The sequence below is a fragment of the Homo sapiens genome, chromosome 2, assembly GCF_000001405.40.
Source record: "Homo sapiens chromosome 2, GRCh38.p14 Primary Assembly".
Classification (NCBI taxonomy): Eukaryota; Metazoa; Chordata; class Mammalia; order Primates; family Hominidae; genus Homo; species Homo sapiens.
This window is the reverse complement of record NC_000002.12, coordinates 98,564,909-98,577,718: the sequence shown is the minus strand read 5'-3', so window position 1 is coordinate 98,577,718 and position 12,810 is coordinate 98,564,909. Positions and strand designations below refer to the sequence as shown.

At 53.8% G+C, this 12,810-nt stretch overlaps 1 protein-coding gene across 46 annotated transcripts in view, besides 1 other annotated feature; it reads right to left on the bottom strand.

The window, feature by feature from the left end:
* Window positions 1–12,810, bottom strand: part of INPP4A (inositol polyphosphate-4-phosphatase type I A) — a 149,806-nt gene that overhangs the window by 16,674 nt on the left and 120,322 nt on the right. For 45 of the 46 annotated variants that reach the window (XR_922915.3, XM_047444199.1, XM_047444209.1 and 42 more), the window contains 5 exons: window positions 11,953–12,079; window positions 11,550–11,690; window positions 9,051–9,148; window positions 4,792–4,904; window positions 576–730 (listed from right to left, as the gene is read on the bottom strand). Coding sequence is in view for 44 of the 46 variants with exons in the window: in XM_047444199.1 (XP_047300155.1) it covers window positions 576–730; window positions 4,792–4,904; window positions 9,051–9,148; window positions 11,550–11,690; window positions 11,953–12,079 (634 nt within the window). In the remaining 2 variants the exon portion in view is untranslated. Of the gene's footprint in view, window positions 1–575; window positions 731–4,791; window positions 4,905–5,689; window positions 5,835–9,050; window positions 9,149–11,549; window positions 11,691–11,952; window positions 12,080–12,810 lie in introns of those variants that run through there. The other variant, XR_007074203.1, reaches the window with a different exon arrangement.
* Window positions 3,289–3,471: a silencer, noted in NCBI's record as "fragment chr2:99190711-99190893 (GRCh37/hg19 assembly coordinates)". NCBI's record gives its function as "represses an EF-1alpha promoter that drives an FKBP-Casp9 reporter gene in an ReSE screen in K562 erythroleukemia cells {active_cell/tissue: K562}" and the evidence as "EXISTENCE:reporter gene assay evidence [ECO:0000049][PMID:32094911]".

Below are 12,810 nucleotides of genomic sequence, written 5' to 3'. Positions count from 1 at the left end.
AGAACATCATTAGGGTGAGGTCGCCAGAGCACACTGACAGCTCTCATGATAAAACACTCATTTGACACTTTGCTCATAAGAGCAAATGGTGTCGACTGCTAGAGAAGCAGCAGAGCAGACCGATGCAACCTGCAGACGCGTTGCTTCACTCAAGTTTGGAAATGTACAGATATCAATATATACACGACGACAACAGCAGATGCCTGCTGAGAAAGCACTGGCCCTAAGTCACACCCACGGCCAGCAGGTGGCCAACAGGGCACTGCATGTCATGGCTGCTTCCCAGCTTCCCGTTTAGCTGCCTGACCCGTGGCTTGCCCACCAGTCTACCAGTTTTCTGGGCAGTCCTGCTCAGAAAGTCCTGCTAGCTGTTACCCCCCACCTTACCTTACAAGAGAACCCTGTCTGAATTTGATAGTGCCAATAGTTTGACGGGTTTGTCAAACTCAAGTGTGAAGGCTGGAGTCAAGGGGCTCATGCAGGGTAGGCCCTGCAGGCAGGAGCAGGGTACCAGCTCATCTGCAGTTTACACGGGCCGGGGCAGGCGGGGCGCGCGGCCTGGCTGCGGCACTCACCTGCGCATGCACTCCAGGGCCTGGGTGAAGACCTGCGGGGCCATGCCATGCTCGTGTTGCAGGATCAGGCACTGCTCCAGTGTCACCGACATGGCTGTACGGTCCTTAGCGCTCTTGCAGCTGGTGAACCGGACCCCATTAAGGCGGCGGCAGATCTGCCAACAGAAACATGGGCCGTGCTTAGAGGCGAGGCTCCACAGAAAGGCAGCACCCTTCACACACAGGAAAGGCTCCCAACCAGCCCAGCAAGGGCAGGAACAGAAACTCAACACCCAGGCCTGGCCAGACGCTCCAATTTTGTTCCCCAACTCCATGCCCTGCCAGAGCTGGCAATAGAAACCAAGTCACTTACAGACACCAGCCCTTTTGGGGGCCTGCCGCCTGTAGGCCTGCCATCATCCCTGCCATCCCCTGTGTGGCCTGCCTTCTCCCACAGGACACTCTTTTGCAGTCCGCTGTCCCCTTCCAAGCCATGCCTGGGCCCTCTTATCACGTTCAGCCCTTCACTGCTGATCCCTCAGGGAAAGAGGGCGGCAAATATGACCCACTGGGGAAGCCAGAGCCACTCTCAGGATGCCCACAGTCCTGGGCCAGGTCTCTAGGTCTCCCTGGAAGGTAGGGAACAGACCTACTATCTCTACTCTCCTCTTTCACCTGAACAGACGGGAGCAGCTCAGAAGTTGCACTGCCCTTTGGCCACCTCCTGACCACCAGCCCCACAGGCCTCCTCCCGCCATACTTTCCCGGTAGCAGAGTTACTGCCAGCACACTTCCCTCCTCACAACTGAATGGCTCACAGAGTAGGGGGCAGGGCAGCCTCTGGACTGGGAAAAGGCCACCTGAGTGCACCTCCTCTCCCCATGGGGAGATTTCAGGGCATTTTCCCTGCACCTCTAGATACAATCCTAGGCACACAGTCACCAAATCCATCAAGCTCTGAAACAAGGTAATTTTTTCATGTAAATCTGTGGCAATCTCATTTGGCAGCACAACCAGACCTGAGCTGATATAAGACTACTTGCAATCTTTACTTATCCCATTTTATGTAAATATTCATACTTTTCAGTGTGGCAATAATATGAGCTTGGTTGCAGAGTGCTGTCTCAGGCTCCCCCGGGGATGTTAAATCCTGTATGTATACCATGGTACACATATGCGATGGGCACCATATTACTTACATAAGTAAACACCAACTGTGTACCACAGTACTTTCTAAAATCTGAAAACCTGTGCATTCCAAAGCATCTGGCCACAGGGGCTTCAGATAAAGGACTATGCACCGTATCAGATACTGCACTATGACACCAAGGCTGGTATTTAATGAAACATCATCCAAGTGATATGATGGTGGGCTCCGGGTATCTGTTGTATGCCAGAAAAATATCAGTGTCTCATCAACTCCTGAAGATGGCACAACACCTGCTTGTCAGGCCAGCAAAGCCAAAGAGCATGCCAGTCACTACCAGGATCATCACTAGACACGAACATGGTACAGTGCTAAGAACCTCGTCTAGGGAAAGGCAAAACAAAAGACCCAATGTTCAGGCAAGACAATCAGAAGGAGAATAGGCTTCTTCTGAGAACAGACCAACAAAAAGAAAGAAAAAAAAATAACAGGCCCTAAGCAGATAAGCAGACCCTAAGCTAATGGAGAGTAAATTAATCAAATTTGTAAAGTTGTAACTGACAAAGCAAGAGTGAACTTGGTATGTGCACTAAATTCTGTGGGCTGTAGAGTTCATGACCCAAACACATGACGGAAGCTGGAACTATAGGTTTCAAAAAGCTTTAAATTCATAGATGCTGCATCCAGAGCTAACGTGAGGTTCTGGAAGGCAGGCAGGGATGGCCAGTGATGCATCCTTGCCCAAGAGGGCACTGCAGTGCCAGGCTTCCATCCCAGAGGGACACCAGCCACTTGTGGTGCACTGCTGGGTCTCCCCATCCATGAGATATAGGCTTAGACCTGACTAAAGATATTCCAGCTATTCAGCCAGGGACCCTTTATTCATACACACAAACAAAAAGAAATAAGAGCCTGAAAAGGAGAGCAGCTCTGCTCAAACTGGGGATGGAAGGACTCAGTACCTGAGTGGCTGGCACTGCTGCCCCACAACCCCTTATCCCCAGGGGATGCCTGGGATTCGGTGGACAACGTGAGAACCCATGCAGCCAAGGGTCTCTGAGAGCCTTGCACCTCTACACTCATGCTTGTTACCCTGAGATCTCTACTGGGAACAAGAAATACAGGACTTGATGGACTGCTTTTCTGTTCTGGTGACAGGGGATGGTCAGTTGTCCCTATACTTAATGATTTTTCTATTATATGGCAATAGACAGGTAGAACCACAGTTCCCAAACAAGATATGCACAAGGTCTCTGCACTACTCGTCTGTAAACTGCCTGTGTGTGTATTCCAAGGAGAACGCATCAGTGAACGCACATCCCCCACCACTGTTCAGACACCTAGCTGTGTCACCCTCTGCATTCTTTTTTTTTTTTTTTTGAGATGGAGTCTCACTCTATCACCCAGGCTGGAGTGCAGTAGTGTGATTTCGGCTTACTGCAACCTCCGCCTCCCAGGTTCAAGCAATTCTCCTACCTCAGCCGCCCGAGTAGCTGGGATTACAGGCATGCGTCACCACGCCTGGCTAATTTTTGTATTTTTAGTAGAGATGGGGTTTCACCATGTTGGCCAGGCTGGTCTCGAACTCCTGACCTCAGCTGACTCACCTACCTCGGCCTCCCAAAGTGCTGGGATTACAGGCGTGAGCCACCGAGCCCGGCCACCCTCTGTATTCTTCGTGTCCTGTGGGAAAGGCTTGCTTTTCACACAAAATCTCTTAAGGTACTTAGGTAAGAGGCTGTCACAGCCTGGCCAGGGGGGTTTAGCAACCCCCCAGGAAAAATAAAAGTAGGGAGCCCCCTCTGTCCTGCTGCAGAGACCCCCGTAGCCAGTGTGTGCCCTGCCCTACACCCCGCTTGCTGGGCCTGGCCTGAGCAAGCAATGCCAGATGAGGCCCCAAAACCAAGAGGATACCTCAAAAATGAGGCCTGAGAAACCTGCCGAACTTCCTGTCACTTTGTGCTTCAAAATGTGTTCTGTTATAATGAAAAGATTTAGAGGGCAGCCAGGCCCAGAGAGGGGAGACCTGCAGATTGATCCACCCCACGCTTCCCACAAAGATAAAGTCTGACCAGCTGAGGAACTCAAAAGATGGAGGGGAATGTTCACTCTTTAAAGCTGAATTCAACAAAATGGTATCAGCAGCCACAACTGTTAACAAACCCAGAAGTGGAGCACATTCAAAAAGTGCGGCTTCATGAAGCCCGGCTTGAACACAGGACTAATAACCAACCCGAAGTGGCGGCCATGCACCATGAGCAGCTGAGACGGTCTGCTGCTGTAGAAGAGACTCGGGGCTGAGAGAAGCACCTTCCTGACAAGACGGAGAGGCACACTTCAGAGTGAGCTGCTCAGGGAAGCTGTGGAGGGCTGGACCCTCTGCTGCTCGAGCTCTGTGACGAGGCGTGGTGGCTGAGGTGTGGTGGGCAGTGCAGTGCCACCTCCCTCCTGGGCTCACCATCCCTCTCCTCAGGCCCAGGCAGGGAGCGGGAATGCCACTGGGGCCATGTGTGCCCGAGTCCCAGCGCTGGGCAGGTTATGCTGCTGTGGAGAAGAATTAACCTCGCCCCTCATCAAGGGTGAATGAATGACCAGCTATGAAATTGGTCTGTTACCCAGGCTCAGAGCAGTGGCTTGGAATTCCACAAGTAAACTTTGGAGAAAATATGAGCAGGGTAAGTGCTTGGGAAAATGAGGAGATCAGAGGCACAATGGACGATAAAGATGGTTTAAAGAGACCTGAAAGGTCACATGGCCTCCTTCTGACCCTATTAAATGATGCAGTAGACAGTGGTTTTCAGCTGGTATCGATCGCCAGGCTTCTGAGGGTGACAACTGTCATCAGCCTGGCTAGTAAATGCCCCAAGAGATGGACTGTGTTAAGCTTATCAGAATTCAGGCAGCCCCAAAGGAATGGACTCTGTGAACTGTTCAGTCTCTTTCAGAGCTTCAGAACGTACTCAGTGACTCCCTCCTCTCCCAGTATGGAGAGCTCTGCTCTCCTGCTGAGATTCTACTTTGTAATGTTTCTGTCATGACGTTCAGCTGTGGGCACCGCAATAGCCTCCTTTTCCTCTCTGTAACCAGTACCTCAGCAGCTTGCCAGAGAATGTCGACGTTCTTATTCTTCCGGGCATGCACGTTCTGACCCAGAAACCGCAGCAGCTCTGGCAGGCACGTCTGACTGCGAGACCGAGGCAGGCCTGGAAGAGAAAAGGAGTTCGTGGGAGTGGGTGACGCACCCAGGAACTCCCCCGGCAGAGGGAGCCCACCCAAGTGAGCTGCTGGGGCACACAGTGGTAAAACAATGAGTTCCCGGTTGAAGAAGGGATGGAGGTGTTTGGGGATAGGACATGGCTGCTGGTGTGGTGAGCACTTAATTTCTTTTACTGCCACCTTCAAAGGACATTTCCTTCATCTCCCTTCAGTTCTTCTGAGGGGCTGGGAATGGCCACCGAATCACCTACAGGACTCCTTGTAAATACCCATGCCTCCCGCACCCCTCCCAGATGAGGGAGTTAGGAGGGAGTGAGAGGGATCCAGCTGGTCGTCAAAACTTCCCGAGGGTAGAAGAAACTGGGGCAGTGGGTCTGAGCCATTGAGCAGGCCTGGAAACCTTGGGAGGGATCAGGAAAGTGCAGCCTCCTCCAGGGGGCCCTTGGCCCATGCCAGGAGAACACATCTCTGCGGGACCCAGAGAAGCCCCTGCTCCCACATCCTAACAGCTCCTCCTCCACTCTGGCAGTCTCTAGGCCCTTCCAGGACCCCTTGGGCCTGAAGATCCATCAGGTCACCTTACCAAGAAACCCCAGACAAAACTGAGGAAAAATCAACCACTCCTGGAAAGGTACTCTGGGATTTTCAAACACTGGGATTATCAGAGACAAAGAGAAGAGCCTCAAGGTCATGGCTAAGGAAAACAGCCACAGCGCCGGAATCCCCGAAGCCAAACCAAGTACATGGCAGCACTTGGGATCTAACTGCACACCTGGTTTCCACCACACAGCCTCGCCCTGGCGTACACAGGTCCTGTGCTAATTACTTCACGTTGCTGCTGAGTGCTCCACACCACGCCGGTCAGGGGACAGGGCAGAGACAGAAAGATGGAAAGGTGGCATCAGCTGAGACGGAAGCTGTGGGAGCCCAGAGGAGGGGAGCTTAGCCAGGTCAGGATATTTGCCCTCTGGCATAGACAGCACCATCTCACCTCCCAAGATGCACTTTGGCTTCTCGCTGGTTGCCCCTGCAGCCCCTGCTTTAATGAATACCTGTCCACTGAGGAACCACACAAAGTTTGGGGGTATTCAGCTGGTGGGCTCCATCTCCTCAGCCTCAGAGACCAGCCATCCTGCTGAGGGGAGGGGTACCTGGCTCACATCTGCCCCAGCTTCCTGGGTCATGGTCCAGTCGACTAGTTCCTGCCTGCGTGGTCCAGCCTGGCTGCTCTGCTTCCGGAGGCCTCGCCCATCCTGGGCCTTCACTGCCCATTGTAACAGCTCCCCGAGCCCTGGAGACTGCCTGCCCTCTAAGGTGCTAGGCACAAATTCCCCCTTCCTACTTACTGCAGCCGCTCACCACTCCCACTCCTCCAGGCCTCAGCACGCGCCCCCTACTCCCTCCCTGCTCACCTTCGTGGCTCCTTGGCTGGCCCTGCCGGTGGGCCCATCCTCTCCCCTACAGCAGTCAGAAGATGCTGCCTGGGCTTGGCCCAGCTCCTGGGGAGACTTGCCCTCCATGCCTCAGTTTCCTCACCTGCCAAGTGGGTGTGAAACCGGTGCCCATTTCCCAGGGCTGCTGTGGGGATCAGATTAGAGAATCCACATAAAGTGGATAGTAGGGGGCCCAGCTTGTGGCGAGCATGTGACAAATCTGCTGTTTGAACTCCGGTCCCTGCTAAAGAGCATGAGGACACCTTCTTAACAGTTCTGACGTCCATGGCACTGATGGCCTTCAGCTGCCAAGTCCTCGCAGGACCTTGACTTCATGCTATGTTTACCACCCTGGCTGTGGCACACAGGGACCACCTGGGGAGTTTCTGAAACCCTAATGCCCAGGTCCTGCCCACCACACTCTGGGGTGGGGCCCAGGCATCTGTATTTTTCCAGGCTCTCTGGCTCCAACTGCATCTCTGCCAGTCACCTCCACTCCCCTCAAGGCCCCGGTTCTGTGCTCACCTCTCTCATGTTGAGCAGGACAAGAACACCTGTTTTACTGGGGAGACTGAGGCTGCCCAACCTGAGCATATTTCCTCCATTCATGTCCCTACCTTCTCTCCTCCCTCCTTCCCTCCCTGCAAGGGCACCCTCCGCCTGCCCACTCCAGGGCCTGGTCTGTGACTCTGGTGTCCTCTTGCATCTTCCAGCCCTGTGTGTTCTCCTTCCCTCGGACCTTTGAGCACTCCCATGGCCCCTGCAGCTCCAGGGTGTGTCCCACCTGCCCACAGCCCCATCCCTCAAGTTGCTGACAGTCTTTGGGACAAAGTGGTCCATTCCAGGGCAGCACCATTTCATCACCCCTTGATCCCTGGCCCAGCCCTCACCACAGTGAGACTGTATGGGAGAGATCACCAGCAGCTCCTTGTCCACACATCCAGTGTCCGGCAGCGCCCCACACCCTCCTGGCTCCTGCCTTCTTCCTGCTAGCCTGTGATGCTCTCTCTCGCCTTCTGTTGAGTCCCTTCTTCCTCGCTGTCCCCCAGAGCAGGGGCCCCTCCAGATGCTGTTCCAGCCCCTTCTCGTCTTGTCACTCAGTGGCCTCAACCACCAAAGGGCTCTGCTCTGTGGCTCCACATCTGCACTCCCCACAAGTCATTTGCCCATGTCATCAGCTCAGCTGGGGCCAGTGCTGCACTCGCTGTCGGTCCCCTGTAGCCCTGCGCCTCTCTCATCAGCGGGACGGCCCCAGCTGTTGCCGGCAACTCCAGCGTCCTTGCCCAGAGCCAGGTCTGTCAGCTCTCCCAGCAGACACAGCCCTCACCTCCCCAGCGCCAGCTGCACGTGGCCGCTGAGGAGTGCATCCTCAGCCCAAACCCCCCTAACGCCTCATCCCTCTCTCCACGCTCACTGTCACTACCAGGCTGGAGTCAGAGTGAAACAACATCTCATCTGAAGTGTCACAGCCTCACTCTGGCCATCAGCGGCTTGCCTCCCCTCTTCCAATCCAACCGCACACTCTTGCTAGATGAACCTGTGAAGAGGCGTCTTTTTTCCCACTGCTTCCCTGCTGAAGCCACGACTTCTTGGCCCAGCCCCGGAGTGTTCTGCATCACTCTCTCCTAGCAGGACGGCTTCAGCCACAATCCAAGCACATGGGCTTCAGAGCCAGGCACCCCTTTCTTCATCTGGACATGGATCCTATCACCGACCCATAGGGCTGTTGTGGATTCAGCGTGGAAACGTATGTAGAGCCCAGCCCAGTGTCTGGCACATCCGTGACCTGTGAAGGTTCACCAGCAGTACTGTTTGACTATCTCTAAACTCTAAGGTCTACCGTACCGTCCAACAGGATGCAGATGAAGCCTGCCCAATGCAAAGCCCAGCCGATGTGGGTTCCCTCTTTGGAAACCCCCATCAGAGGACACTAGTGTAACACAGAGGGGATGATACCTTCTGACGCGTGGCGCCCCCTAGTGGCTGTGGCAGCGCCTGCACAGAGAGGCCGGCACTCTGGGACCAGCTTTCCCTCCAAGGTAGGGTCCACCCCTCATTCGCCATCGGATCCTCTAGCACTTTACACACAGCAGGTCCTCAGGGAATATTCACTGGGTTGAACTCAAGAGGGAATTCTCGTAGACAGTGCTGTGCAGCTCTCGGTTCCTCCCTTAGTTCTGTGGCTGCAGAGCCCTAGCTGCAGCATCTTCACTGCAGGACACGCAGAGAGATTACTGTCACCATCTCCACTGCCTCCAGGAGATGCCGAGATGGGGCCACCTTGCTCCCAAACACCCAGCAATGTTGGCCCCGCATCTTCCTCTCTAAGCACCACAAAGGGAAGTGAGTGGGCCGCTCACCTGGCCGAGGGTGGGTCCTGCCTCTGTGATTCCCCCAAGTCCTACCAGGAGGTGCACAATGCATGCCACCAAACACATCTTGTGTCAGTGACTACGACAGCATGGGAAGGAGCCATGTCACATAGGCTAGTAGAGAATCGACAGCAAAGAGATGAATGAGGGCCACAGCCAAGGGAAGCTTCTCTCTCTCTCTCTGCGTGTGTGTGTTTAGGGAGAAAGGGAACAGTGCACACACATGCACAGGCATGCACTCACAGAGGCAGGGCAAGCCAGAGCTCAGACATCTAAACTGATAAAAAGACGAGTAAGTGAAACCTACCATGACTGAAGAAATACTTACAATCCTCAGGCAAAACTTCCTTAAACTGCTCAAAGTAGGAATTTAACCGCACCAAACTCTCCACGTTGATGACTTCTTGTAAAGACGTATCGCCAAACCTTGGGAGGTTATAGGGGATGCCATTAGTTGGCTAATGTCACTTTCTTCTAACATGAACACAACTGCATGGAAGCTAACTATGCTGATTCTCTCAAACATTTACTATGCATATCTAAATTCTAAGCCACTCTCCCTCTTCCGAGCATAAAGGCATTTCTACAGTGTTGCTGATCAGTTTAAATGCATTCCATTGGCAGGAATCATGTATCACTGTTACAGGCGTGCCTGAGAGATGACCAGAACATGATGTGGTACAGATCCTGTGCAGCACAGGATCCCCCCTCACAGCCATTTGGCTCAGAGTCCCTGGTCTCCTCCCATCTGAGGCACTTAGGAGGGGGGACGGCAGTGAGGTATGGCTGAGAGGTGAGGATGCAGCCCTGTACTCCAATCTGAAGTCACTCTCTGTGTGCAGAATGAACACACCTGACTGCCAGCCCCTCCGGGACTGACATGAAGCCCTTGCCCTTTCGTCATCGTGCAGGTTCACCCTGATCACACTCAGTGTGCTACAAGGAGCATGTGCCAAATGCCTAAGAAACAAAGCCATAAAATGCCACCTGCAAGGAAGGCACAAGGTGATCATTAGGAAATGCAGGCTCTGAAGTCCAGGTCCTGGGCCCCAGTGCAGTCTCACACATCCCTGCTGAGGGGCCTTCCGAGCATCAGCTTCTCTGTGGCCCGAGAGCATCCCTCAGAGGGCAGGATTCCCTCCTACGGGTCCCAGCCCATCCACCCCTGGTGTCCACAATGGCCTTTTCTCTAGACGCCTGCTCCCTTGGGGGCCATCCCTGACTCTGGGCCTGTGGCCTCCCCTCTGAGGGCTCTTCCCTCAGCTTATAAACAAGCCCAGCTCACCAGTGACCTCAGGGCCAATAAAGAAACAAAGTCAAGAACCTGCCCTTTGCAAGTCCTCTCTGTCCTCAGTGTTGCATCCTCCACCCTCCCCTCTATTCAATGCACCTGGCTCTGGCTCAGCCCTCTCTAGAAACTGCTCCTGCAAGTCTGTGGGATCCGCAGCTACTGGATGCAGGCACCATCATTTTCCCTCCCCTGGGCCACCTCCCTGCTGGGGCTCCAGTGAGGCTGCGCCTCTCCCTGACATAGGCGCCTCCAGCTCTGCTCACACCTTTGGGGCTTTGCTTCCTGGGCTGGTGCCCTCAGTCCAAACCCAGCTCACCACCTGCCTCTGGACACGACTCTCCTGCCAGTTTATGAGCTCAGTGGGTGGGTCTGTCTGGTGTACTCTCCTCCCACTCAGCCCCAGCCCCAACCCCACTGAAGACCAAACCCTTCCACTGACCACTTTAACAGTTCCCCAGCCTACCCCTCTGCAGAACACCAACACTCCCCTGGCCCTGATCCAGGTTCCCACCTCTGGCCTGGACTCCTCCCAGCAGCCTCCTCCTCACACTTGTCCCCTTCATCTCCTCCCGGCACGTGCCAGCGAAACGACCTACTTTAAATGTAAATCTGATTGTGTCCTGCCCCACTGAGAGTTCTTCAGTGTCTCCCAGCAATGATACCATATTTCCTAAGTTGGTGTGACCCTACACCTAGGCGTCAATGGACATCAACCACTGGGGTTGGACATCAGAAGGCCCAGCAGGAACACGGCATATTGTTCTGGAAACCAAATTTCCTTCACAGCAAGTACTTGAAGATCTCTGTTTAGACTATTCTACACATATCACATGAAGATAAATGACAACACAGGAATCATTCTCATGTACTAGTGGAAGGCCAGTAAAGGGTACATATACCCAATCTACCCTATCTCCTCACACACATGTGCGCACACAGGCACACGTGCACACACAGGCACACACAACTCCCCTCTGCAGTGTGGCAAGTGACCCTGGAGGGCAGTTGCCTTTAGGTTCAGGCATGAGTCTCAGCCTGGCACACAGAGCCTGTCTACCCTTACCTGCCAATCCCTGCCTGGAACCTGGTGCCCCTGAACTCCATGCTGTTTCTCCTCGCCAGGCCTTTCTTCAGTCTTCTTAATCTGACATGTCTCCCCTCCACCTCATCATCCAACTCCTATTCACAATTCAAAGCCCCATCCCCTGCAACTCCAAGAAGCCTTTACAGACCCCCTAGACCTTGCTGGGTGCCCTACTCCGGATCCCACAATGCCCTGTATCTGTCTTCATCATTGCATCCATGTCTCTCTCTCTCCCACCAGCTGAGTCCCTGAGGACAGAGACCACCTCTGGGTCACTCTGTGTCCCTAGCACCAAAGACAGTGAGGTGCACGGCCATGATGAAAATGTTGGCCAAAGGAAGGAAGGATGACAAAGTCTGTCCAGCACTTAGAGCCTGAAGAGGGGTAAGTACGTTTTCTGCATCATCTCCAGGGCCACCACACCCCCGCAGCCCCGAGGAGCCGGCACGCACCTCTCGGCCAGTGTCTGCTGCTCATTGATGCCCACGTTGAAGAGGACGGGCTGCACTCGCAGCAGCATGCCACTCTGGATCTCCCGGGGCAAGGCGTCAAACAGCGGGCCCGGCAGAGGGACCCGCACGTTAAACCCGTCGCTGGAGAAAGGTGGAGAGAGGGAGAGCAGTGTGAGGCCAGAGGGCCACCGAGCAGGCTGCAGTGCCCAGGCTGGCCCTCTGGCTTAGTGATGGCCAAACTGCCAACCACAGACCTTTAAGGGAGTGGCACTAACCTAGGGGGCTGTAATCAGAGCATTTAACAAAATGAAATAGGATAAAAAATTCAGAAGAGTACCTTCCCTGAGATAAACAAAAATGAAAACCGCTCTCTGGCTCAGAGAATTTTAAACCAACACTCTACCGATTTCCTGTGATGACGGGCAGCATGTCTGCGGAGGCGCTGGAAGTGGCCTGAGTGACTTTGAAGGTCACGTTCCTCAAGTCCATGATCCCAAGGCTCATGTCCTCCAGCATTGCCAGCTCCTCCCCTGGACATGAGAGAGGGGCAGGGCTGTCAGGCAGAGGGCCCTGCTACTCTCCCCAGTCTCAGCAGAAGGCAGCCAAGCCCAGGCCTGGCTGTGACAGGAGGGGTGCAGGTGTGGCTCTGGTGGAGGGGGAGTCTCTGAGCCTCTTCCCCTGCAACTCACTCCTCTGTGAGTCAACAATGCCTCTGAAATCCCACAGCCACATCAAAACATGCATCTGGTGGAAACACGCGCCATCCCTTCCCACTATTTCTTGGGCAAGCACCAGATAGTAGGGAGGGAAACAAATACATAAACTCAGAAAGCAAAGCCAGCTCTTGAAACACGAAATGAGAGATGCTAAAGCAGCTTTGCTGTGGCCAGACCCTCCCATTACACAGGGCTTGATATCTATTCGATGTCCTCAATTTCCAATGATTAACAAATGCTTTCTATCACCTTCTCAGAATAAATAAATAATAAACAAGGGTAGGAAGAAGAGAGCCTTTTTAGAGGGCAATTTGGAAATATCTATTAAATTTAAAAATATTCCTACCCTCTGACCCAGCAACTCTCCTTCCAGTCATTCAGTAGCTGCAGAAACAGGCCCACAAGTGCCTCATGCACAGATGTCACTGCTGCACTGGTGTTTCAGGAACAACCCAAAGTCCAACAGGAAGTTACTGGTTAAGTAATTAGCATCCATCCTCAACCAGCAACAACAACAAACCAAGGCGTGTGCGTGTGTAACTGCC